The following is a 21,724-nucleotide window of genomic DNA, read 5'->3' as shown; positions in this document are numbered from 1 at the left end:
TGAGGCAGGAGAATCGCTCGAACCCAGTAGGCAGAGGTTGCAGTGAGCCAAGACCATGCCATTGCACTCCTGCCTGGGCAACAAGAGCAACATTCTGTCTCAAAAAAAACAACAGAAACAAACAAACAAAAAACAATACGGCCATGTGCTACTCAACGGTGAAGCTATGTCCTGAGAAATGTGTCATTAGGCGATTTTGTTATGTGACAAACCTAGATGGGACAGCCTACCCCACACCTAGGCCAGATGATCCGAACAACACGTGGTAATCTTTTATTTTTTTATTTTTGAGATGGAGTCTCACTCTGTCGCCCAGGCTGGAGTGCAATGGCGACATCTCAGCTCACTGCAAGCTTCGCCTCCGGGGTTCAAACGATTCTCCTGCCTCAGCCTCCCCAATAGCTGGGGTTACGGCGCTCGCCAGCCACCACGCCCGGCTAATTTTTGTATTTTCAGTAGAGACAGGGTTTCACCAGGTTGGTCTCGATTTCCTGGATTCGTGATCCGCCACCCCACCTCGGCCTCCCAAAGCGGTGAGATTACAGGCGTGAGCCACCGCGTCTGGCCAACACGTGGTAATCTGAAGGGACCACCACAGTATATGCGGCCCGCCTTCCACGGAAACGTCATGAGGCCCACGACTCAAAGGCGTGCCTCATTAAGTTACCGACAGCCCCAAACTCGCCCTTCCACGCCGGGCCTCAAGGTGCTCTGTGGACCACAGCGGGGCCCGGGGCCCTCGCGAGGGAGGGAAGAGTTCGCTCCAGGTCCCCGCGATTCCCCCGGAAAGTGAAACTGCAGAGGTGTTGCGTGGACACCCGCGGTCAGACACGACCCCAGGCCGCGCGGGCCCCAGAGGAAGCGAGCGCGAGTCCGCGGTGGTGGCTGGGCGCTCAGTGAGGACGCCATTCCGCCACGAAAACGCCCGCGACGCCGCTGGCCCCTGCGCGGTGGGGCGAGGTAGGCTGGCCGGACCTGCGAAGCCCGACGAGCCCGGCGCCGGCTGGCTGCAGCTTGCTCTGCCTCCCTGGCCTGGCCCCGAGGCTCCCGCGAGCCGGGATCCGCGAACACCGGGGCCGAACCGACTCTCTCGGGCCTCAGACGGCGTGGACCCTGGAAGGCCCCAGTTCGGCCGCTTCCCCGGAAGTCCCCCAGTGGGCTCCGGCCGCTCTGGCCCGCGCGCGTCCGGCTCGCTGGTGCCCTGGGCGGCGCCCGGCCGCTGGCGCTTCTCGGGCGCTAGGGGGCGCGCGGCCGCGCGGGAGCCGCACTGGGCCGCGGCGGCCGCTCGACTGTTCTGAGGAGCGGCCCGGACGCGCGCCGCCCCCGCCCGCGTTTCCCCGGCAACCCGCGGCCGCCGCCATGGACGCGCTGTTGGGCACAGGGCCTCGCCGGGCTCGCGGCTGCCTGGGCGCGGCTGGACCCACGTCTTCAGGTCGCGCGGCGCGGACCCCGGCGGCGCCCTGGGCGCGCTTCTCCGCCTGGCTGGAGTGTGTGTGCGTGGTCACCTTCGACCTGGAGCTGGGCCAGGCGCTGGAGGTGAGCGGGCGCGAGCGCGGGCGCGGGCGGGTGGGCAGGGCTGCGCCTCTCGGGGCCAGTCCCGCCTCGCTTGGGGCCCTCGGCCGCCCCGCACTCTCCCTGGCCTTCGGCCGCCGCCTCCTGGAGGGGCCTCTTCTCCGGGCTCCAGAAGCGCTCCCCAGGCCGAGGAGGGAAGGCGAGCTGCTCGGAGTCGGATCTTGTCTTCACATTGGGATGGAGCATTTTGCATAACCTAAGTGGTACTCTTTCGATTTTTCCCAGTAAATGTCTCACATCTCCCCCCTCCATTCCCCACCGGAGCAGTGACACCTTCATCCCCTCAGTGGCTCCCGCCAGAGTCCCGGGCTTACCCTCCGCTCCGCATCCCATCTCTGGGCATAGGCGAGGCTGACGGCTCCTTCTGCAACAAAGGTCTCGGATCCGTTCCTTTGCTGCCATCACTGATGTCATCCCCACCCCAGCTGCACCCCAGAGTTCAACCTTTGTGGCTCTCCTGCTTAAAACCCTGCAGCGCCTCCTTGTTCACCTAGCATCAGATCCAGACCCCATGGGCCCCGTCCCTCCACCTGCGTCTTGTGGTGTTCTTGCTCGTGGGGGTCTGTTCATCGGCTGTGCCCATGGGCTTTCGATGTGGTCTTTCTGCTGCCTGCAGGCCTCCACTCACCTACCCACACAGGCAGCCTCCTTTCCTCCAGGGAGGCCCCGCAGGATGATCTTCTCTGTGTCCTGTGTAACACACACCAGGGAGCTGACCAGCACAGGGGAGGCCCACCTGCAGATGGAGGGAGGCTTCCCCGCGCTGGCGCAAGGAACCTCGTGAGGGGTAGTGAGCTCTCTATTACCGCAGGTGTCCAAGATCAGGCCAAATCATCATCATCAGGAAAGCCAGGCAGCGCGTCTCTGTGGTTGGGAGATGCTTTCTAAGGCCCTGCTGAACTCCAAGAGGCCATGAGAAGCATATAGTCTTCTAAACAGAAAAGCATTAACTCTAGCACTCTCTGGAGCCCCTCCCACCACACACGGTCCCCAGCAGGTGCACAGCCTCAAACAGCATCACTGGGTGGGGGCTGAGTACCAAGAAGTGTGGTGACCTGCCCAGGGTTGAAAACCTTTCTTAGTTCAATACTGTTGCCCAGATTGTTCCCCACAAAATCACAAAAGAAGTTAAGAGGTTCCTGGCCGGACGCGGTGACTCATGCCTGTAATCCCAGCACTTTGAGAGGCCGAGGCAGGCAGATCACAAGGTCAGCAGTTTGAGACCATCCTGGCCAACATGGTGAAACCACATCTCCACTAAAAATACAGAAATTAGCCGGGCGAGGTGGCACACTCCTGTAGTCCTAGCTACTCGGGAGACTGAGGAGGAGAATGGCTTGAACCCGGGAGGGGGAGGTTGCAGTGAGCAGAGATTGCACCATTGCGCTCCAGCTTGGGCGACAAAGTGAGACTCCATCTCAAAAAAAAAAAAAAAAAAAAAGGAGGTTCCTCTGTTCCTTAAGACATTCTCGTGTTATTTTCTAAAACCCATTCGGAAAGTTATTTCTGAGCTGTTGAAGGCTGTGTGTGCTTGGACTCCTGAGCTTTTGCTGGGGATGCTCAGCTCGGACTAGGGGCATGGTCAGCTGGCAGAGTGTTGGGGACCCAGGTCCATGAGCGAAACCCTCCATAGCAATGATCTGGGCACCTGCAGATCACTGAGTCTGTGCAGAAACCTGGCAGTGGATCCACCGGGGCCTGAGCACATGACTCTTGCCTTTCCTCCCTCACCTGGAAGTCACAGGGAAGATCGAGGTCGTTTTAGTCACTTACAGACTTAGGGAGCACCCACTGTGCAACTCAGTCACAGCTCAGCCCAGCTAAGCACTGCAAAGCCCCAGGACTGTGCTTGGTTCTGCGATATGGAAGGAAGACTCTAGTTGGGATGCATGCAGCTCAGAGGAAGGAATGGGCTTAGGTAAATAAGTCTTGGATGCTGAGAAGAGACAGGGGAGGGGGTCCTGTTTCAGGTAACCCCTCTCCCAAAATGCCAACATAAGCAAAAGGCAAGGAGCTGGTGATTCAGTTACTCATTCAGTAAATCACTTTGAAGGCTGGGCATGGTGGCTCACGCCTGTAATCCTAGCACTTTGGGAGGCCGAGGCGGACAGATCACCTGAGTTCAGGAGTTTGAGACCAGCCTGACCAACACAGAGAAACCCTGTCTCTACTAAAAATACAAAATTAGCCGGGCGTGGTGGCGCACGCCTGTAATCCCAGCTACTCAGGAAGCTGAGGCAGGCAAATCGCTTGAACCCAGGAGGCGGAGGTTGTGGTGAGCCGAGATCGCGCCATGGCACTCCAGCCTGGGCAACAAGAGTGAAACTCTGTCTCAAAAAACAAAACCGTAGATCACATTGAGCAGCTATCACCAGCCCAGCCCCACAATACTGGTGCCCAGCATGTAAGTGAGTAGACAAGGCTCTTGCCCTTTAGGAGTTCACACTATGTGCCAGTGATATGGAGAGTAAGTGGTTCAGAGTCCATAGTGCTCACAGGACTCCCCCTTAGCCCTCACAGGATACCCCCGCAACTGTACGCATGGGAGCATCATGGAAATGAGTGCAGTGCAGCCTGCTTGAGAGATGAGGGGTCCAGCTTGAGAGGGGCCAGCAGGGCTGTGGGGTGACAAGGGATCTGGCTTGTGAGGGGCTGGGCAGGACTGTGGGGTGACTGGAGTGTACAGGTCAGCTTAGGAAAGGGCCTGGCTCCGCCTTCTCAGCTCTTGAAAACTCACCTCTTGGGCTGGGCGCAGTGGTCCTGCCTATAATCCAGCCCTTTAGGAGGCCGAGGCAGGAGGATCACTTGAGGCCAGGTGTTCCAGACTAGCCTAGGAAACATAGTGAGACCCTGTCTCTACCAAAATTAAAAATAAATTAGCCAGGTGTGGTGGCATGCACCTGTAGTTATAGCTACTCAGGAGGCTGAGGCTGGAGGATTGCTTGAGCCCAGGAATTCGAGGCTGTAGTGAGCCATGATCACCACTGCACTCCAGCCTAGGTTACAGCAAGAACCTGTCTCAAAACAAAATTAAAAAAAAAAAAAAAAAAAAAAGGCTAGGCGTGCTGGCTGATGCCTGTAATCCTAGCACTTTGGAAGCCCACAGTGGGAGGAGCACTTGAGCCCAGGAGTTCTAGACCAGCTTGGTCAATATAGCAAAACCCACATCTCTACAAAAAATACAAAATGAGGCCGGGCACAGTGTTTCATGCCTATAATCTTAGCACTTTGGGAGGCTGAGGCAGGCGGATTGCATGAGCTCAGAAGTTTGAGACCAGCCTGGGCAACATGGTGAAACCCTGTCTCTACTAAAAATACAAAAAATTAGCTGGGCATTGTATGCCTGTAATCCCAGCTACTCTGGAGGCTGAGTTAGGAGAATTGCTTGAACCCGGGAGGTGGAGGTTGCAGTGAGCTGAGATCGTGCCACTGCACTCCAGCCTGGGTGACAGAGCTGGAGTGCAGCTCTCAAAAAGGAAAAAAAAAAAAAAAAAGAGCCAGGCATGGTGGCACAAACCTGTAGTCTCAGCTACTTGGGAGGCTGAGGTGGGAGAACTGCTTGAGTCCAGGAGTTGGAGGTTGACCCTGTCTGTTAAAAAACAAAAAACAAGCCGGGCGTGGTGGCTCACACCTGTAATCCCAGCACTTTAGGAGGCTGAGGCGGGCTGATCACGAGGTCAGGAGATCAAGACCATTCTGGCTAACACAGTGAAACCCCGTCTCTACTAAAAAAAAAAAAAAAAAAAAAAAAAAAAGCATTAGCCGGGCATGGCGGTGGGCACCTGTAGTCCCAGCTACTTGGGAGGCTGAGTCAGGAGAATGGTGTGAACCCAGGAGGCGGAGTTGGCAGTGAGCCAAGATTGTGCCACTGCACTCCAGCCTGAGCAACAGGGCAAGACTCTGTCTCAAGAAAAAAAAAAAAATAAGGCTGGGCACGGTGGCTCATGCCTGTATCCCAACATTTTGGGAAGCCAAGGCAGGCAGATCACCTGAGGTCAGGAGTTTGAGACCACCAGCCTAGCCAACATGGTGAAACCCCATCTCTACTAAAAATACAAAAAATTAGCCAGGCATTGTGGCACGCCTGTAATCCCAGCTATCTGGAGGCTGAGGCAAGAGAATCGCTTGAACCTGGGAGGCAAAGGTTGCAGTGAGCGGAGATCACGCCACTGCACTCCAGGCTGGGTGACAGAGTGAGACTCTGTCTCAGAACAAACAAAAAAAGACAAAAATTTTTTTTCTAATGGAAAATTTACCTCTCAACATCCCAGCTCCCTCAGAGGTCTCTGGAGTGAACTCTGGTCAGTTAGAATACCACTTTCACTCTGGCAGCCATGCCCTCCCAGGCAGCAGTGCCCATACTCTGCAGTCTTAGGACACTTTTGTAGTTTTAAAAATTATTGGCCGGGCACGGTGGCTCACGCCTGTAATCCCAGCACTTTGGCAGGCCGAGGCAGGTGGATCACAAGGTCAGGAGATCAAGACCATCCTGGCTAACACGGTGAAACCCCATCTCTACTAAAAATACAAAAAATTAGCTGGGCATGGTGGCGGGCGCCTGTAGTCCCAGCTACTCAGGAGGCTGAGGCAGGAGAATGTCGTGAACCCGGGAGGCGGAGCTTGCAGTGAGCTGAGATCGCGCCACTGTACTCCAGCCTGGGCAACAGAGTTAGACTCCATCTCAAAAAAAAAAAAAATTATTGAGGACCCCAAAGAGTTTTTTTTTTTTAATATTGGTTATATCTATCAATGTTTACCAGGAGTTAAAACCAAGGAAATTAGCTGGGCGTGGTAGCACAGGCTTGTAGTTCTAGCTGCTTGGAAGGCTGAGTCCAGGAGTTTGAGACCAGCTTGGGCAGCATAGCAAGACCCAATCTCTACACAGCAGTGTAAAAATCAGCCATGTGTGGGGGCGCACGCCTGTAGCACAACAGTGTAAAAATTGGCCATGTGTGGGGGCGCACGCCTGTAGTCCCAGCTACTCAGGAGGCTGAGGTGGAAGGTTTGCTTGAGCCCAGGAGGTCGAGGCTGCAATGAGCTGTGTTCGCACCACTGCACTCCAGCCTGGGTGACAGTGAGACCTTGTCTTAAAAAACATTTTTGAGAGTTAGAAGGGCTGGGCGCCGTGGCTCACACCTGTAATCCTAGCACTTTGGGAGGCCAAGGCGGGTGGATCACGAGGTTAGAAGTTCGAGACCAGCCTGGCCAATATGGTGAAGCCCTGTCTCTACTAAAAAATAGAAAAATGTTAGCCGGGCGTGGTGGCGTGCACCCTTAGTCCCAGCTACTCAGGAGGCTGAGGCAGGAGAATCGCTTGAACCCAGGAGATGGCGTTTGCAGTGAGCTGAGATCACGTCAGTGCACTCCAGCCTGGTGACAGAGCAAGACCCCGTCTCAAAAAATAAATAAATAAAAAATAAAAAGTCCGACCAAATGGAAAACAGCTGGATTCTCATCAGCACTGCATTCAGCCCTCTAGGACAGGACACACCGCGGCTTCTGGGAGCCATGCTGTACCTGAGGGTGAAGATGAGAGAGGAGGCTCTCACACAGGAGAAGGGCTGTGACCCCCGGGATCCCAGGGTGGCCCGGCCATACCTTGGGAACCGCTCCCTGCATGTGCCTTCTCCAAACCAAGCTCCCACCCCCAGTCTTCCTCCGGGTGACTGGTGACCAGGAGCAGGGACCTGTGCAGGGCTCAGGCAAGACCCTCATGGAACCCCGAGCAGGGCACAGCCTGACCTGGGAGGCCTCCTTGCCCTGAAGATCAGCTCCATTTGTCCCCTTAACCTTGGCGTGGCCAACCCTGGGTGGCCTGACCCCTGGCTTTGTACTCAACTTCAGGCTGTACCTGGGCCCCAGGGACACTCTCAAAAAGGATGAGCCTGAGAATGTGGCTTTCCCTGGTCAGACATGCTGAGGGCCCCCTGGGCATGGGCACGGAGCTCAGAGGCCACAGGCTCCTGTGACTGGCAGACCAGGTGCAGAGTCCTGACCCCAGGCAGAAGGTACCCGCCTTTTCTCAGTTCTCCTCAGTGCAGACACATGAAGGCTCAGGCTGAGTGGCCCTATATCTCCAGCCCCTCATGGAGCTATCCTGAGGCACCCCTGTGGGTCCAGCCTACTCCCAGCTTCCACCCTCGTCCTCCTCCTGACCACTCCTTGGTGCCTGTTTAGCTCCCCTCCACCCACCTGTTCTAGTAAACCTCAGAGACCTCTTCACACATTCCACGAACACTGTATTTGGGGAGGGTCTGTTCTGTGCCAGGTGCTGGGAGGCAGAAGTAACCAGGACAGGGTCCTTAGAGAGACTTACTCTGCATTGGAAGAGGCAAAGCAGGACCATGGTAGCAAGCCCAGAGCAAACAGAAGAGCAGGGCTATTTTCACAGAGCAAGCTGGGCGTGGCTCACGCCTGCACTCCCAGCACTTCAGGAGGCTCAGGCGGGAGGATCGCTTGAGCCTAGAAGTTCGAGGCTGCAGTGAGCTGTGATTGTGCCATTGCGCTCCAGCCTGGGTGAGGGAACGAGACCCTGTCTCTCAGAAACAAAATGGCAGATGCTTTCATCCAGGGCCCGGCTCCTCACTGTCTGGGGGCTCAGGGCACACCTTGGAAGAAGCCTTGTTATAGCCTAAACCCAACTCAGTGGAGAAGCTGGGCAGATGGGATGAGGAGGGGACAGTGTGCAGAGGCCCTCCTGGCAGGCTTCAGGCAGCCCAGGAGACATTGCAGGGCCCACTGGGAATGGGGGCTCTGGGAGCTCCCTAGAGGGAAAGTGGTCCATGTGTGCGTGGACCTACTGGGCTGGGCTCCCAGGCTCACCTGCCCCACCTGCCGCCTCTGTCAGCGCACACCTGTCTTCCAAGTCATTCAGCGCCTGCTTAGCATCATGCTCTCCTCCACTGTCCACTCCTGGGGGTGCAGGCCTTGTCCGGCTGGGCGCTACAGGTGGGGCACAGGCCCTGGCAGGGGGAGGGTGGGTGAAGACTGCTGAGCAGGACGGGGAGAGGGCCTGACAGCAAGCTGCCATCATGGGGCAGGGGTGCTTCTGGGCCTGCATCTGAGCAAAGGCTGGGGGAGCAGCACGACCGGGGCCCTCTGGCTTGGCGGGTGGTGAGGGAGCTGGAGGACCAGCCAGGCGGGGCCCCGTGACCATCCCAGGTGAGGGGCCCTCTGGCTTGGCGGGTGGTGAGGGAGATGGAGGGCCGGCCAGGTGGAGCCCCGTGACCATCCCGGGTGAGGGGGCCTCTGGGTCCCTGAAGCACTACCCTTCTGATGCTGTGAACAGATGTCCGGGTGGGTAGGGGCAGGGGGGCCCAACTGCAGTCTGGGCAAGAGGTGGTTGGGTGGCTGTGAGGACCAGGGGTGTGAGAAAGGGGTCAGGAAGCTCACCCAATTGTGCTGGCCTCTTACTGAGAGGGGCCTGGGGAGGTGGGAGTAGAGAAGCCTCTGGCCGGCAGGGGAGTTGCCCGGGGCCTGGTGCCTGGAGGTCAGAGATAGGAGCGGGTCAGCAAGGAGCCAGACATCACAGCCAGAGAAGGTGGTGTGGGGAGGATGCAGCATGCTGTTGGAACACAGAGAATATGGTGTGGGGAGGATGCAGCGTGCTGTTGGAACAGGGAGCAGGGGGCGAGCCAGCACCTTGGGCACTGACCTGCGCCCCACAGACAGATGCTGCAGCTGCTGGGACGGTCACAGTCCAGCAGATGCTGTCGAGGGGTGTCGCCTCCTCGGACAGATGGTGTCACCAAGCACTCTGTCTTCCTCTGCAGCTGGTGTATCCGAACGACTTCCGGCTCACAGACAAGGAGGTGAGTCCCGGCCCTCTTGGGAATGGACAGGACCCAGGAGTGGGTCGGCCCTCACCGGGGTTTTATATGTTTCAGAAAAGCAGCATCTGCTACCTGTCTTTTCCCGACTCGCACTCAGGTAGGCAACCCCACCTTTCCTGGGGCTGGACATGAAGCCAGCTGGGCATCCCTGTAGCCTGGGCCAGGGGCATCATGGCTGCCTCGGCTGCCCCGGTGCCCAGAGTGCCACAGGGGTGAGCAGCACCAGCCCCATGCCCACTCCGTGGAGGCACCCAGAGCCCCGCGTTGCAGCAGGTCAGGCCGGTCCCCAGATTCACGTAGAAAGGGTGTCTCTTTGCAGAGGGACCAACAGTCAGTCTCCTACACCCCACACAGTGGCCGCCAGGGGCTGGGCCTCCCTCCCGCTCCTGCCCCAGGGTATAGACATCTGGGTGGCCATTTTCTGGTGCCTGGTTTTCTATCTCAAGCAGGTCAAGCCAATCTCCCAGAGAAGTTGAAGGTGCTTTTCTATGCGAATATATTCTAAGACTTGTAGGTGCAGGGTGTACAGAAGTCAGAATAGGAGCCCATTGGGAAACACAGACCCCTTGGGCTGGGCATTCTTTCTGGGGCTTTTTTTATTTAAACGGAGTCTCACTCCGTCACCCAGGCTGGAGTGCAATGGCACCATCTCAGCTCACTGCAACCTCCGCCCCCTAAGTTCAAGTGATTCTCCTGCCTCAGCCTCCTGAGTAGTTGGGATTGCAGGTGTGTGCCACCATGCCTGGCTAATTTTTGTATTTTTAGTAGAAACGGGGTTTCACTGTGTTAGCCAGGCTGGTTTCTGGGGTATATTTACCAGCAGAGGCCAGGCTCGCAGGGCCCTTGCTCCCCGGTCACCAGCTCCAGGGCCTGCAGAAGAGGCTCCCGGCCTTGACCCGTGTGGTGGGGCTGCCCCTTCTTAGGCTGCCTTGGAGACACTCAGTTCAGCTTCCGCATGCGCCAGTGTGGAGGGCAGAGGAGCCCCTGGCATGCCGACGACAGGCACTACAACAGCAGGGCCCCTGTGGCACTGCAGGTGAGCACTGGGCTGCGTCTCTGGCCTGCTTCTCCCCTGCTCCCCAAGGGTCCTGCCAGGGTCAGGCTGGTAGGAGAAGCCCCTTCAGAGTGCCTGGGCCCTGTGTGGCAGGAGAGGAGCTGGCCAGGCCCCACTGGCCCTGCAGTCCCAGGCACCAGCCCCAACTGAGGATGGGCCAGCTCTTCCAGGGTCTCCCCAGGGTCCCTGGGACTTTTCCTTGGCACCACACATCTGTGGCTGGGCACCTGCATAGTTGAACAGGGGCCCTCCCAGGGCCCCCAGCCCCCCGAGCCCCTCTCCACTACACCAGCGGACTCCCTGCTGTATCAGCAGGGGTGTTGCCCACCTTCTGAGCCCAGGACCTCCTGGCCTCCACCTTGGTGGCCAGAGTGCACGGACAGCAGCTCCAGGAGCCTCCTGGTTCTCCAGCCTTCCATCTGCAGCAGTCCCTGCATGCTCCTTGCCACTCCCAGCCCTGGGGCTGGCCAGGTGGTCCGGGTGGGGCGTGGCTGGCTAACACCATGCTCCTTGCAGAGGGAGCCGGCACACTACTTCGGCTACGTGTACTTCAGGCAGGTGAAGGACAGCTCTGTGAAGAGGGGCTACTTCCAGAAGGTGCGCTGCTTGGCCACTCTGGGCTGGCACCTCAAGAGCGGCAGGAGCTGGCAGGCAGCAGGAGGGGCTGTGGGCGGGCAAGGGGCCTGAGCCTCCAGCAGTGCCCACCCCTCCTGCAGCCCCACCTGGGCTGTGTCCAGCTCTCCTTGCCGCCCCCCCACCCTGTCCTCGCCGCCCCCCACCCTGTCCTCGCCACCCCCCCACCCTGTCCTCGCCGCCCCCCCCCACCCTGTCCTCGCGGCCCCCCGCCCTGTCCTCGCCGCCCCCCCCCCGTCCTCGCCGCCCCCCCCCACCCTGTCCTCGGGGCCCCCCGCCCTGTCCTCGCCGCCCCCCCACCCTGTCCTCGCCGCCCCCCCGCCCTGTCCTCGCCCCCCCCCCGCCCTGTCCTTGCCTGGCATGGGACCCAAGGCCCTTCTGTCCTGGTCCAGGACACTGCTGCCCCTCACTGATGGCTGGAGGGTCATCACACTGTCAGTGTCAGGGCAACCCAGCCTGGAAGCCATAGGCAGAGAGTAAAAGCTGCTCAGCCCCTGGGGAGGTCGTTCTAGAAATTCTGGCCACCGTGCGTTTCCCTCCGAAGGCCCTAGGGTCCAGCCCCACCGGCCGCCACCCAGGGAGTTCAGTGTTGGGTTTTCTCCTGTCTAATAATTCTGGGGTCCAAGTCAGGCGTTCCTGGGGCAGCTGTCCTGTGAAGTTGGTGGGACGTGCTACCCTGGGCCAGCTCCAGGTGAGCGTGGCTTCGGTGGTCCCCGTGGGCTCCTGAGTGGCGAGGGTGAGGCCTGGCACTGGGCCTCTAACTGGCCCCGTGGCCCTGCAGTCTTTGGTGCTGGTGTCCCGCTTGCCCTTTGTCCGGCTGTTCCAAGCGCTGCTAAGCCTCATCGCCCCCGAGTACTTTGACAAGCTGGCGCCCTGCCTGGAAGCAGGTGAGTGGCCATCAGTCGTGGCCATCGTGGTCTCATCATCCCAGCTGTGGCCCCTGGTGGGCTCGGCAGCAGCTTCTCCTTGGGGAGGGTCCTGATGCGGGCTACTGCATCCGCAGTGTGCAGTGAGATCGACCAGTGGCCGGCGCCTGCACCTGGGCAGACCCTGAACCTACCTGTCATGGGCGTTGTTGTCCAGGTGAGAGCCAGCTGGCTGGGGAGTAGGCTCTGCAGGTGTGTGGGGATGCCCTACTCCCTCTGGCAGCTGCTCCCTCCTTCTCCCAGGTGCGCATCCCATCCAGGGTGGACAAGTCCGAGTCCAGTCCTCCGAAGCAGTTTGACCAAGAGGTGGGAGCTGAGGCGGAGGTGGAGCTGAAACAGCTGGGCTTCACCCGATTGAGTCCTGCTCCTGGGCCGGGTGGTCCCACACCTGCTTCCTTGGTTCACCCTGCGGGGTTGTCAAACCCAGGCAAAGCCACAGGCTGTGTGTTGGTGTAGGGCTGGGTGCTCTCCACCTTCCCCTGTGCTGTGAGGCAGGGGCTGCTTGGGGCCCAAGGGGTGCCAGCCTCCCCTTGGCCCTGACCTTCACTCTCCTCCTCTCAGAACCTGCTGCCAGCCCCAGTGGTTCTTGCTAGCGTCCACGAGCTGGACCTGTTCAGGTGAGCCCCCTAGGGTTCTGCACACTGCTTTTGAGGAGCTCACTGTGTGTGCACGTGCATGTACGTGCATGTGTGCATCTGTGTGTGAGTATGTGTGTGCGTGTGTGTCTGCGTGAGTGCACGTGTGCACGTGTGTGTGTGTATGGCCAGCGCCATGTGGGGACTGCCCAAGGGAGGCAGCGCTCATCCTGAGTACCCCTTGGGACAGTTCTGGAAGGAAGGAGGGAGAATTGTCTAGAAGAGGAAGCAGGTGCCCACATGTCTGCAGCCAGTGGAAATAGGCACAGTGGGCAGGAGGTTCTGAAAGACAGGTGTCAAGGAGAGGCTGTCAGGAGAGATTCACTGCCTGAGGCCGCCTTCTCTGCCTCTGGACAAGTCTGCAAGGGAGCCTGGGCTTTGAGACCATCCTGCTCTGTGCTGGGCCCGGCAGGAGCCAGGGCTGCACTTGGGATGGGCACAGGGTGACGGGAGGGGTCTGGGCGGGTACCCCCCAGCCCAGGTCAGCAGACCCTGCCCCGGCTTTGGGGCCACTTCGGGATGGCTGGTCCCTCACAGGTGGGTCCAGGTTGAGTCCCCCATTCCCAGGGCCAGGCCCAGCACAGGTGGATTGTCACAGCTTGGGGTCGTCATGATTACCCGAGACACATCTTCAGATAGATCTGTCTTCACCCTGGAGCAGCGTGCTGTGTTCACCAGTGCCTGGGCCAGCCTGGGTGAACGGTGGGAGAGCGGGGCCAGAGCCAGGAGTCTCAGCCCCTGCCTGACCTCCCCGACCTTCCTGCCCGGCCCCAGGTGCTTCCGGCCTGTGCTGACTCATATGCAGACACTGTGGGAGCTCATGCTCCTCGGGGAGCCCCTGCTAGTCCTGGCACCCTCGCCCGACGTGTCCTCGGAGATGGTGCTGGCCTTGACCAGGTATCGCCTTGGCCCGGTCCCGGCTGGGGAAGCTGGACCATCGCGGCTGTGCCTGGGCTGCCCCTGCCTCACCTGCTCCCTGCTGCCTCTGCCCACAGCTGCCTGCAGCCCCTCAGGTTCTGCTGCGACTTCCGTCCCTACTTCACCATCCATGACAGCGAGTTCAAGGAGTTCACCACACGCACGCAGGCCCCGTAAGTGCCGCCTCTGCCCCGCCTCTTGCCCTTGCTCCGCCCTGCCTCTCGCCCTTCCTGCACCTCCCTGGACCTCTGTCTCTGCCTCTTCTCTCTCTCTGTCTGTCTAGACCAAACGTGGTCCTGGGAGTCACAAACCCTTTCTTTATCAAAACACTCCAGCACTGGCCCCACATCCTCCGAGTCGGGGAGCCCAAGATGTCAGGTCAGGCTCCCGGTGAGGTGCAGGGGGTGCTGCTCAGAAGCCTCGTTGAGTGTGGGGCCGCCTCAGAGCCCGTGGGGATGGCCAGAGCTGCGGGCACTGAGGCCTGGCCACCGGGCGTGTCTCGTAGGAGACCTGCCTAAGCAAGTCAAGCTGAAAAAGCCTTCAAGGTTGAAGACCCTGGACACCAAGCCAGGTCTGTGCTCCCCTCGACCTGGAGCCCCTCCACCGTGGAGAGGCCTGTCTTGTACCTGGCGGGTCTCTCGGGTGGGGCAGCCAGGCCCCCAGACCCCTGATCCTCTTCCAGGACTCAGCAGCAGAGCTCAGAACCCTTGGGGAGGGGTCGCTCTCTTCTCTTCAGTGGGTCTCGGTGTCTGGGGGGTGGGTGGGTGAGATTTTCAGGTGCAGCCAAGGGCATGGGGCTGCAGGCAGATGAGACCCCCACCCTGGCTCCTCTGTGGGGCTGCAGGAGTGTGGGAGGGAGGCCCTTGAAGGGTGGGGCGCCAGCTGTGCCCTCCCGCCAGGCCTCTACACCGCTTACACGGCCCACCTCCACCGCGACAAGGCGCTGCTCAAACGGCTGCTCAAGGTATATGGTTTGTGGGGCAGGGGCTGGGGACGCAGGGAGCCTGGTGTGGTGTGAAGCGCAGCAAGGGCCTGGCCCTCTCTCCCCTGCAGGGCGTGCAGAAGAAGCGGCCGTCAGATGTGCAGAGCGCCCTGCTGCGGCGGCACCTCCTGGAGCTCACCCAGAGCTTCATCATCCCCCTGGTGAGGCCCGGGGCTGGGGGACATGGGACTGGGGGGCACGGGGCTGGGGGGATGGGGTTGGGGGGGACGGGGCTGCGGGGGATGGGGCTGGGGGGCATGGGTCCCCGGGCTCACTCCCCTCCCTTCCCCACCCAGGAGCACTACATGGCCAGCCTCATGCCCCTGCAGAAGAGCATCACGCCCTGGAAGGTGGGGGTCCTGTGGGGGTTTTGTGGGGTCCATGGAGGGCGGGTTCCCTTCCTCACCCGGAGGAGGGAAGGTCTGGAGCAGGAGGCTGTGGCTGGGCAGGAGCCACAGGCCTCAAGGCCATCATGTTTGTGAAACTGGGGGCCACAGGGCAGGTGGCTGGCAGGACCCTTGGAGGGGCTCAGGGCCTGCTCCCTGGGAAAGGCTGTCCTGGGATCTGTGCCAGGCAGGGTGGGGGCTGGGGGTCTTCAGAAGTGGTGAGGAGTGTGTCTGGGAAGCGTACCGGGTGCAGGCCTGTGAGGCCGAGTTCCCACGTGCTGGCTCACCCATCCCCTCTCAGACTCCCCCCCAGATCCAGCCCTTCAGCCAGGATGACTTCCTGCGTAGCCTGGAGCATGCTGGGCCCCAGCTCACCTGCATCCTCAAGGGCGACTGGCTGGGTCTCTACAGGTGCGTGGACTGCAGGTGCAGGCAGCTTGAGCCCTCCTTGGTCCACAGGGTCAGCCCCATGGCCCCCCGCCTGTCAATCCCCAGGGTCATCCCCATGGCCCCCCGCCTGTCAATCCCCAGGGTCAGCCCCATGGCCCCCCGCCTGTCAATCCCCAGGGTCAGCCCCATGGCCCCCCGCCTGTCAATCCCCAGGGTCAGCCCCATGGCCCCCCGCCTGTCAATCCCCAGGGTCAGCCCCATGGCCCCCCGCCTGTCAATCCCCAGGGTCAGCCCCATGGCCCCCCGCCTGTCAATCCCCAGGGTCAGCCCCATGGCCCCCGCCTGTCAATCCCCAGGGTCAGCCCCATGGCCCCCCGCCTGTTAATCCCCACAGGCGGTTTTTCAAGTCCCCCCATTTTGATGGCTGGTACCGGCAGCGGCACAAGGAGATGGCCCTGAAGCTGGAGGCCCTGCACCTGGAGGCTATCTGTGAGGCGGTGAGAGAGGCTGGGGGTTGGGGAGGGCCAGAACATGGTGGGGGTGGGCACAGGCCCAGGGCAGTGAGGGGCCTTGCTGACAGTAGACCCCGTCTTGCCCTGCAGAACATCGAGACCTGGATGAAAGACAAGTCCGAGGTGGAGGTCGTGGACCTGGTCCTGAAACTTCGTGAGAAGCTGGTAAGATGCCTCCCAGCCTTGTCCCAGCGCCACCAGCCTGGCACGGAGCTGCGCCTGCCCTGACCATGGCTGCCCCTCCAGGTGCGGGCTCAGGGCCACCAGCTCCCTGTGAAGGAGGCTACGCTGCAGCGGGCACAGCTGTACATCGAGACGGTCATCGGCTCCCTGCCCAAAGACCTGCAGGCTGTCTTGTGCCCTCCCTAGAACAAAGCCAAGGGCCACGGTCCCAGGGCCCTAGGTCTGCCTGAGCCTCCCACTCCCCAGTGGTGGCGGCACTGGGCCAAGCACACGCTCCCCTTCCTTGGCCCCCCGCCCAGACTGCAGGCTCCCCTTCCTGCACCACCATTGTCTCAGCAGTAAAGGCGACATTTGGAACCACAGCATGGCCTTGACCATAGGGGTTCCTCGCAGGCAGAGCCTTGCCTCCTCCTGGGTCCCACCTGGCCTCTGCAGACCTTAGGCTGGGACGGGGGCGGGGACAGGCTGGGAGCCCTTGCTGATGTGGGTGCGTCTACCGTCTGCCCCTCCCGGTGCCCATCTGTTGGCCCCCGACCCCCCTGCGCTGTGTGTGATGCTTCCCTCAGCCCAACAGGCTGCCCAGGACAGGAGGGACCCTCTCCTGACACAGCCCCCGTCTTGTCTGGGGATGGGAGGCTATTTTGCATATAGTCATCAACTTGAGAAAGGGAGAGACCACTTTGCAGTGTGAAGAGCTCTGCTCACCACCCCTGGTGCTCCTCTGGACACCCACCTGCTTGGGGCTGTGGTTTGTTGGGAGGTAGGGGTTGGGCAGGGGGCTGTGTGCAGCCCAGCACCTCTGCTAGGAGAGCTGGCTCAGCCTGGCTCTCGGAGAGCCACAGCACCTTCCTGGCTCCCAGTCCTGGAGCCCCCACCAGGCACCAGCTCCGTGCGTCCCTTCTGGGAGGTGGACAGGGCTCCTGTTGTCCAAGTGTGTCCGTCCATCCCCCACATGCAGCCCAAGGGGCTCTGGACTTCGGCCTGACCCTGCCTCTGGCTGGAGCCTGCATGTCTCCCTTTCCTTGGTAAGGGGTGAACGTCCCTAAGAGCCACCTCTGGGTTGTATGCTCCCCCCGTGACACCTGCAGGCACTGAGGCCGGTGAGGTACGGTGTTGACCCTGCACAGCACACAGTGACGGTACTGTCAGGGCTCCGGACAGCCAAGCCCTGCTCAGCATCACGCACTGTGTGCCCGGGAGCAGGTCCCCTGACCACTCAGACCCTCAGACTCCTCATCTGAGCGAGCCAGCCATGCAGATGCCCGACAGGGTGCTGGGAGGGCCACTCATGGAGACTGGGCTTTGTACCCTGTGAGGCCGGGCGGGTGCTGGCCAGGGGACACAGGGCTGGGGGAGGGACTTTTTCTTTTTTTTTCTTTTTGAAATGGAGTCTCGCTCTGTTGCCCAGGCTGGAGTGCAGTGGCATGATCTCGGCTCACTGCAAGCTCTGCCTCCCGGGTTCACGCCATTCTCCTGCCTCAGCCTCCCGAGTAGCTGGGACTACAGGCACCCACCACTGCGCTTGGTTAATTTTTTGTATTTGTAGTAGAGACAGGGTTTCACCATGTTAGCCAGGATGGTCTCGATCTCCTGACCTCGTAATCCGCCCGCCTCGGCCTCCCAACGTGCTAGGATTACAGGCATGAGCCACCGCGCCCGGCCGGGACTTTTCTTTTTCTTCTGAGGCCCCCATTCAGTCCGAGGAATGTAGCCTTCATTCAGCGCAACGTACTGTTTGTGTTCTCATTGGTGCTCTCAGACCTCCAGCCAGGTGGTGGAGAGCGAGCACTGCCAGCCACTTCAGTGCAGGATGTGACTGAGCCACAAGGACAGCGGGGTCAGGTGTCCGGGCGCCAGGTAGTTCTCAGAACTTGGTACATGTCAACTTGTCCAGCCCAACTGCAGCCCAGGACAGCCTGTCCCTGTTCCCATTCTACAGACAAGACGCGGAGGCAGCCGGGAGGGTGACCAAGGGGAGCTGTTAAGCCCCAGATGTCTGGTGCAGGGTCCAAGGATGTGACCACATGAAACAGAACACATAGAGGCCGAGGTGGCAAACCTGTTCTGTGGCAGGGACAAGCCGGGGACCCGAGGGTGAGAAAGGTCCTGGCCCCAAATGCAGCTTGGGCCTCCTGACTGTAGCACAGGGGGACCAGCCTCCCCACTGAGGGCTTGGTCTCTAGAGGGTCTGCAGAGATGCTGGCACCTCTTGTGTGGGCAGCTTGAATGCTGACCTCCATAAGATGGGGCCTGGGGGGCCAGTACAGGCCCTGCCATCAGCTGCCCTCCACCAGGGCCCTCTGCAAAAGCCTTATGCTGGTGACCAGCCCCCTGAGGACCACCACTTCAAGGTGTCGGGGCAGCTTGGGAAGACAACCCACCTCTCTCACAACTGTGACCCCACTTTGGGGAGCGCACCCCAAGGACCGTGGCAGCATGTGCTTCCCCACAGCACAGTCTCGCCTCACTTGGCTTTCTGAGGGCTGCCGCACAGCACAGAGGGCTGCAGACCCACATGGCTGCAGGGGAGGGGCTTCAGGCTGGTCTCTGAGGAGCCCCCAGGGACCCTGGCCACTGTGTATCCAGAAATGCACAAGCAGATTTCCCTGGAGGGCTCTGGTGAGGCCACATAGTGGCGTGTGAAGGGGGAACTTGAGGGGGGAACCGGGCTGGGTGGCCAGCATTGCCCTGGGCAGAAGCTAAGGCTAAGGTGGGGGGTAGTGTCCCAGCCCCTCTTCCTCAGGGCCTGTCCCCACCTGTGCAGAAGAGGCCTGGGGTGGAATGTGGCCTGGGGTGGATGGGTGGGGGCTGGGCGTGGAGACCTGCCAGCTCCATCTGTCCGGATGCCTCTTGTGGCCCCCCCAGTGTCAGGGCCGCTCTGAGTTGGCTGAGCCTCTGTCCAGGGCTAGGCCATGGCCCTCCCCGCCCCACGCACTCCAGGCCAGGGGCAGTCAGTGAAGAGGCAGGAAGGTCCAGACAGCTCTACCCCTGGCCAGAGTGCCAGCCCCCGCAGGCAAGAGGGCTTGCTGGGCAGAACTTAGTTGGCGAGGGTGAGGACTGCTGTGGTCACAGGCCTCCCGAAGGACAGGGACCACAGAACCTAGAGGGTGGGAAGGGCTGGGAGCAGGTCTGGAGTGGGGCTCGGGGCTGAGGGTGCACACAGGGGGCCTGCTCAGGGACAGGAAGGACAGCTGCTCACCCTCAAGCTTCCTGCTGGCTATTTAAAGACTCCCTTTTAGTCTAGAACAGTGGCCTTCCCACAGTTTTGGTATTAAAATGTCCTTTTGTGACTGGACCTTGTCTTTTCCTTTTTTGATAAAAAGTTGGCAACCTTGTCAGAACCTGGTAATTTTGGGGTCCTCTGCAGTGAAGGGTAGGGTTGCCGTGATGTGGATTGTGGTTCAAGGCCCAAGGGAAGATTTTGGACAGGAACAAGGCCTGGCTGCTTGAGGGTGGGAGAAGGCAGAGACTGAAAGAACTAAGTCAGGCTGGGGGAGTTTGTCAGGATGTGGCGGGGCGGATCCCGGGTGGGGGAAGCAGAGGAGGAGGGGATGCCTGGCTGGGGACAGGAGGAAGCTGACCAGCTGCAAGGACGGGGCAGGTCTGGGTGGAAGGCGGGCCCCAGGGAGGGGTGACCCAGGGTGGGGGCAAGAGCTTGGGGAATGCTTCTGTCTCCTGCTCAGCACATCCAGTTCCGGGAGGGCAGTGGAGGCGTGCTCCAAGGTCTGGCCCTGCAGACGGTTCACCACCTCTTCTCAAGCCCAGGGGACACTAGGAGCACTGAGGCCAGGACTTGGGACCTGGGATGCCAGAAGTGGGGCCAGCTCTGTCCCAGAAACCAGAACCCCCAGAAAGAGGTCTCGGCCCGCCCACCTCCTGGCCCTGAAGGACCAGGTGGGGTCCCGGGTGCAGCATCCCAAGGTGCTGCTGGAGGCCAGGGATGTGCTGGGAGGCCATCTCCAGGTCCCAGTTTACCCTGGGAGGTTGAGGGCCTGAGACCCCTGGGAAAGGGCCAAAGCCCAGCAGCCCCCACCCCTGAAGGCCGCAGGGGAGCGACTGGTATGCTTCCAGTCTGGGAGTGAGAGTCTGGTGCCCACACATCTCAAGACTGGCAGGGACCCTCACGTTCCTCTGGCCAGGCGAGAGTGCACTCATAATGCCCTCCCCTGGTACCAAGCCATGGCCTCCCCTCAGACCTGCGGGGTTCCTGTGGGGGTGCTCAGGCCATGGGGCCTCTGTGGGCGCTCGTGCTTCCTGGACGGCGGCATGGTGGGCAGGGTGCTGCCCTGGCTGAACCTGGGTCTGAACTGGGGTGCCTGAACCTACCAGACAATGCTGTGGCCGCTGGGCAGGGGAGAAGTGGGGGGCGCGGGGAGCGCAGGCCCAGCCCCTCCCCTCCCGTCCCCTCCCCTCCTCTCCGGTTCTCTTCTGCCCTCTCCTCCCCGCTCCTGCTCCCCCTCCCCTCCCCCTCCCCCTCTTCCCCCTCCCCCTCTCCCCCTCCCCCTCTTCCCCCTCCCCCTCTCCCCCCTCCCCCTCTCCCCCCTCCCCCTCCCCCTCCTTCTCCCCCTCCGCTTTCCCTCTCCCTCTCCCCCCTTCTCCTGTTCTCCCCGCCCTCCCCTCCTCTCCCTCGTCGGGGGCGGGGCCGGCAGCTCCCGCGCGCTCCGGCCCCTCCTCGGCCACACAAAGGCCCCGTCTCCATGGCAGCAGCGCGGGCCAGAGCGCAGCGCCGAGCGCGGCCCGGGCGCCATCGAGCCTTGGCGGCGGACGTGCAGGTACCGAGCTCGGGGGACTGGGCTGCGGGGGACGTCTCGCTGGGCGTGGGGGGGGCTTCGCCGTCAGCGCCGCTCCGCCCGGGCCTGCCGCGCTGGGGCCCGGGGACCTGCGGCGGCTGCGGCTCCGCGGAGGGCTCCCGGGGCCTGGGCCCCGTCCGTCGGTCCATCCGGCGAGGCCCGGGCCGCTGCCGCCCCACTCCCTTCCCGGTGTTGACTCGGGGGACGGGCCCGGCGGCGGGGGCTGCGCGTCCCTCCGGAGCCGCGTCGGATCCCTCCTCCGCGCCTGCCTCTCACTCTTCAGCCGCCGAGCTCCGTGCGCCGAGCGGAGATGGTCTCGCGGTGCGGGCGCTCCGGGCCGGCCCCAGGCTCAGCGGCACAGGAGCCTGGATTTGCCCGAGCTCCCGGGGGCCGTCCCCGCACCCCCTGGGGCCTGCTTGGCGCGGGGGGACCAGGGCGGAGAGCACCCGCACCTGGCGAGACCCCACTGCCTGGGCCTCCTCGCGGTTCCCAGAGTGGCGTCTGGGTGGACACCCCGAGACACAGAAAGTCTCAGAAGCGGGGGCGCGAGCCCTGCCTGTCCCCTGCTGACCCTGCCCCTCCGCACCCTGCTCCTGCAGGAAGCCCCTGCCCTGCCAGCGCCCCTGGTCGGGCTATTCGGCAGATCTGGGGAGCCCGCCTCCCCCTGTCATCTGGGGGTCTCAGAGCCCGGACGCCCTGGGGCTTCCTGCCAGGCCCTTGATTTCTCTTCCCGAAGCTCCCTGGGAAAGGAAGAAAGGGGTCCGTCTGCCCACTGTGGGCTGTGGCAGAGTCAGGACAGGGGGTGAGGGTGAGGGTGAGGGTGAGGGTGAGGGTGAGGGTGAGGGTGAGGGTGGGCCCCAAACCCGGCAGATCCCGGCGGCCTGGAGGGCTCCCTGTGCCCCACCTTCCCT

At 61.5% G+C, this 21,724-nt stretch overlaps 2 protein-coding genes and 1 long non-coding RNA gene across 17 annotated transcripts in view, besides 13 other annotated features; 2 read left to right on the top strand and 1 right to left on the bottom strand.

Annotated features, from left to right (window-relative positions):
- Positions 948 to 1,587: a silencer, noted in NCBI's record as "silent region_13975". NCBI's record gives its function as "represses an Ori minimal core promoter by ATAC-STARR-seq in GM12878 lymphoblastoid cells {active_cell/tissue: GM12878}" and the evidence as "EXISTENCE:reporter gene assay evidence [ECO:0000049][PMID:35858748]".
- Positions 1,336 to 19,318, top strand: DENND6B (DENN domain containing 6B). 7 transcript variants are annotated; one of them, XM_005261914.5, is made up of 21 exons: positions 1,336 to 1,536; positions 9,345 to 9,383; positions 9,459 to 9,501; positions 10,328 to 10,440; positions 10,975 to 11,055; positions 11,636 to 11,782; positions 11,873 to 11,978; positions 12,095 to 12,174; positions 12,261 to 12,323; positions 12,579 to 12,634; positions 13,427 to 13,549; positions 13,648 to 13,743; positions 13,854 to 13,948; positions 14,076 to 14,141; positions 14,470 to 14,534; positions 14,624 to 14,713; positions 14,849 to 14,902; positions 15,240 to 15,349; positions 15,723 to 15,825; positions 15,931 to 16,005; positions 16,087 to 19,318. In XM_005261914.5, exons 1-21 carry the CDS (start codon positions 1,360 to 1,362, stop codon positions 16,207 to 16,209), a joined length of 1,905 nt encoding a protein of 634 aa, XP_005261971.1. In that variant the 5' UTR covers positions 1,336 to 1,359; the 3' UTR covers positions 16,210 to 19,318. The 7 variants fall into 7 exon arrangements, 6 of the variants coding, with proteins under 6 accessions (XP_005261971.1, XP_011528994.1, NP_001001794.3 ...); XM_011530692.4 differs by having other exon boundaries at positions 15,240 to 15,364; NM_001001794.4 differs by lacking the exon at positions 11,636 to 11,782.
- On the bottom strand, positions 6,286 to 11,029 carry LOC105373096 (uncharacterized). 2 transcript variants are annotated; one of them, XR_007068159.1, is made up of 6 exons: positions 10,222 to 11,029; positions 9,227 to 9,398; positions 8,965 to 9,136; positions 8,395 to 8,534; positions 7,765 to 7,889; positions 6,286 to 7,089 (listed from the first exon to the last, which is right to left on the bottom strand). It is a non-coding gene; the product is annotated as an uncharacterized LOC105373096 (long non-coding RNA). The 2 variants fall into 2 exon arrangements; XR_007068160.1 differs by having other exon boundaries at positions 8,965 to 9,055; positions 10,222 to 10,329.
- Positions 6,888 to 7,388: an enhancer, noted in NCBI's record as "H3K4me1 hESC enhancer chr22:50759389-50759889 (GRCh37/hg19 assembly coordinates)". NCBI's record gives its function as "activates a minimal SCP1, AML or CMV promoter by ChIP-STARR-seq in naive H9 embryonic stem cells {active_cell/tissue: H9 hESC(naive)}" and the evidence as "EXISTENCE:reporter gene assay evidence [ECO:0000049][PMID:30033119]".
- Positions 9,962 to 10,462: an enhancer, noted in NCBI's record as "H3K4me1 hESC enhancer chr22:50756315-50756815 (GRCh37/hg19 assembly coordinates)". NCBI's record gives its function as "activates a minimal SCP1, AML or CMV promoter by ChIP-STARR-seq in primed H9 embryonic stem cells {active_cell/tissue: H9 hESC(primed)}" and the evidence as "EXISTENCE:reporter gene assay evidence [ECO:0000049][PMID:30033119]".
- Positions 10,463 to 10,963: an enhancer, noted in NCBI's record as "H3K4me1 hESC enhancer chr22:50755814-50756314 (GRCh37/hg19 assembly coordinates)". NCBI's record gives its function as "activates a minimal SCP1, AML or CMV promoter by ChIP-STARR-seq in naive and primed H9 embryonic stem cells {active_cell/tissue: H9 hESC(naive and primed)}" and the evidence as "EXISTENCE:reporter gene assay evidence [ECO:0000049][PMID:30033119]".
- Positions 12,966 to 13,714: an enhancer, noted in NCBI's record as "H3K27ac-H3K4me1 hESC enhancer chr22:50753063-50753811 (GRCh37/hg19 assembly coordinates)". NCBI's record gives its function as "activates a minimal SCP1, AML or CMV promoter by ChIP-STARR-seq in naive and primed H9 embryonic stem cells {active_cell/tissue: H9 hESC(naive and primed)}" and the evidence as "EXISTENCE:reporter gene assay evidence [ECO:0000049][PMID:30033119]".
- Positions 12,966 to 13,721: a biological region, named in NCBI's record as "H3K27ac-H3K4me1 hESC enhancer GRCh37_chr22:50753063-50753811".
- Positions 13,502 to 13,721: an enhancer, noted in NCBI's record as "active region_19315". NCBI's record gives its function as "activates an Ori minimal core promoter by ATAC-STARR-seq in GM12878 lymphoblastoid cells {active_cell/tissue: GM12878}" and the evidence as "EXISTENCE:reporter gene assay evidence [ECO:0000049][PMID:35858748]".
- Positions 13,852 to 14,061: an enhancer, noted in NCBI's record as "active region_19314". NCBI's record gives its function as "activates an Ori minimal core promoter by ATAC-STARR-seq in GM12878 lymphoblastoid cells {active_cell/tissue: GM12878}" and the evidence as "EXISTENCE:reporter gene assay evidence [ECO:0000049][PMID:35858748]".
- Positions 19,631 to 19,680: a silencer, noted in NCBI's record as "silent region_13974". NCBI's record gives its function as "represses an Ori minimal core promoter by ATAC-STARR-seq in GM12878 lymphoblastoid cells {active_cell/tissue: GM12878}" and the evidence as "EXISTENCE:reporter gene assay evidence [ECO:0000049][PMID:35858748]".
- Positions 20,381 to 20,430: a silencer, noted in NCBI's record as "silent region_13973". NCBI's record gives its function as "represses an Ori minimal core promoter by ATAC-STARR-seq in GM12878 lymphoblastoid cells {active_cell/tissue: GM12878}" and the evidence as "EXISTENCE:reporter gene assay evidence [ECO:0000049][PMID:35858748]".
- Positions 20,591 to 20,790: a silencer, noted in NCBI's record as "silent region_13972". NCBI's record gives its function as "represses an Ori minimal core promoter by ATAC-STARR-seq in GM12878 lymphoblastoid cells {active_cell/tissue: GM12878}" and the evidence as "EXISTENCE:reporter gene assay evidence [ECO:0000049][PMID:35858748]".
- The window catches only part of PLXNB2 (plexin B2), a 32,668-nt gene continuing 31,645 nt past the window's right edge, over positions 20,702 to 21,724 (top strand). For all 8 annotated transcript variants that reach the window (NM_001376869.1, NM_001376885.1, NM_001376866.1 and 5 more), the window contains exon 1: positions 20,702 to 20,795. The gene's annotated coding sequence lies outside the window, so the exon portion shown is untranslated. The remainder of the gene's footprint in view (positions 20,796 to 21,724) is intronic.
- Positions 20,801 to 20,870: a silencer, noted in NCBI's record as "silent region_13971". NCBI's record gives its function as "represses an Ori minimal core promoter by ATAC-STARR-seq in GM12878 lymphoblastoid cells {active_cell/tissue: GM12878}" and the evidence as "EXISTENCE:reporter gene assay evidence [ECO:0000049][PMID:35858748]".
- Positions 21,391 to 21,541: a silencer, noted in NCBI's record as "fragment chr22:50745236-50745386 (GRCh37/hg19 assembly coordinates)". NCBI's record gives its function as "represses an EF-1alpha promoter that drives an FKBP-Casp9 reporter gene in an ReSE screen in HepG2 liver carcinoma cells {active_cell/tissue: HepG2}" and the evidence as "EXISTENCE:reporter gene assay evidence [ECO:0000049][PMID:32094911]".

Source organism: Homo sapiens, chromosome 22 (assembly GCF_000001405.40).
Source record: "Homo sapiens chromosome 22, GRCh38.p14 Primary Assembly".
NCBI lineage: Eukaryota > Metazoa > Chordata > Mammalia > Primates > Hominidae > Homo > Homo sapiens.
This window is presented reverse-complemented; position numbering and strand designations above follow the sequence as displayed.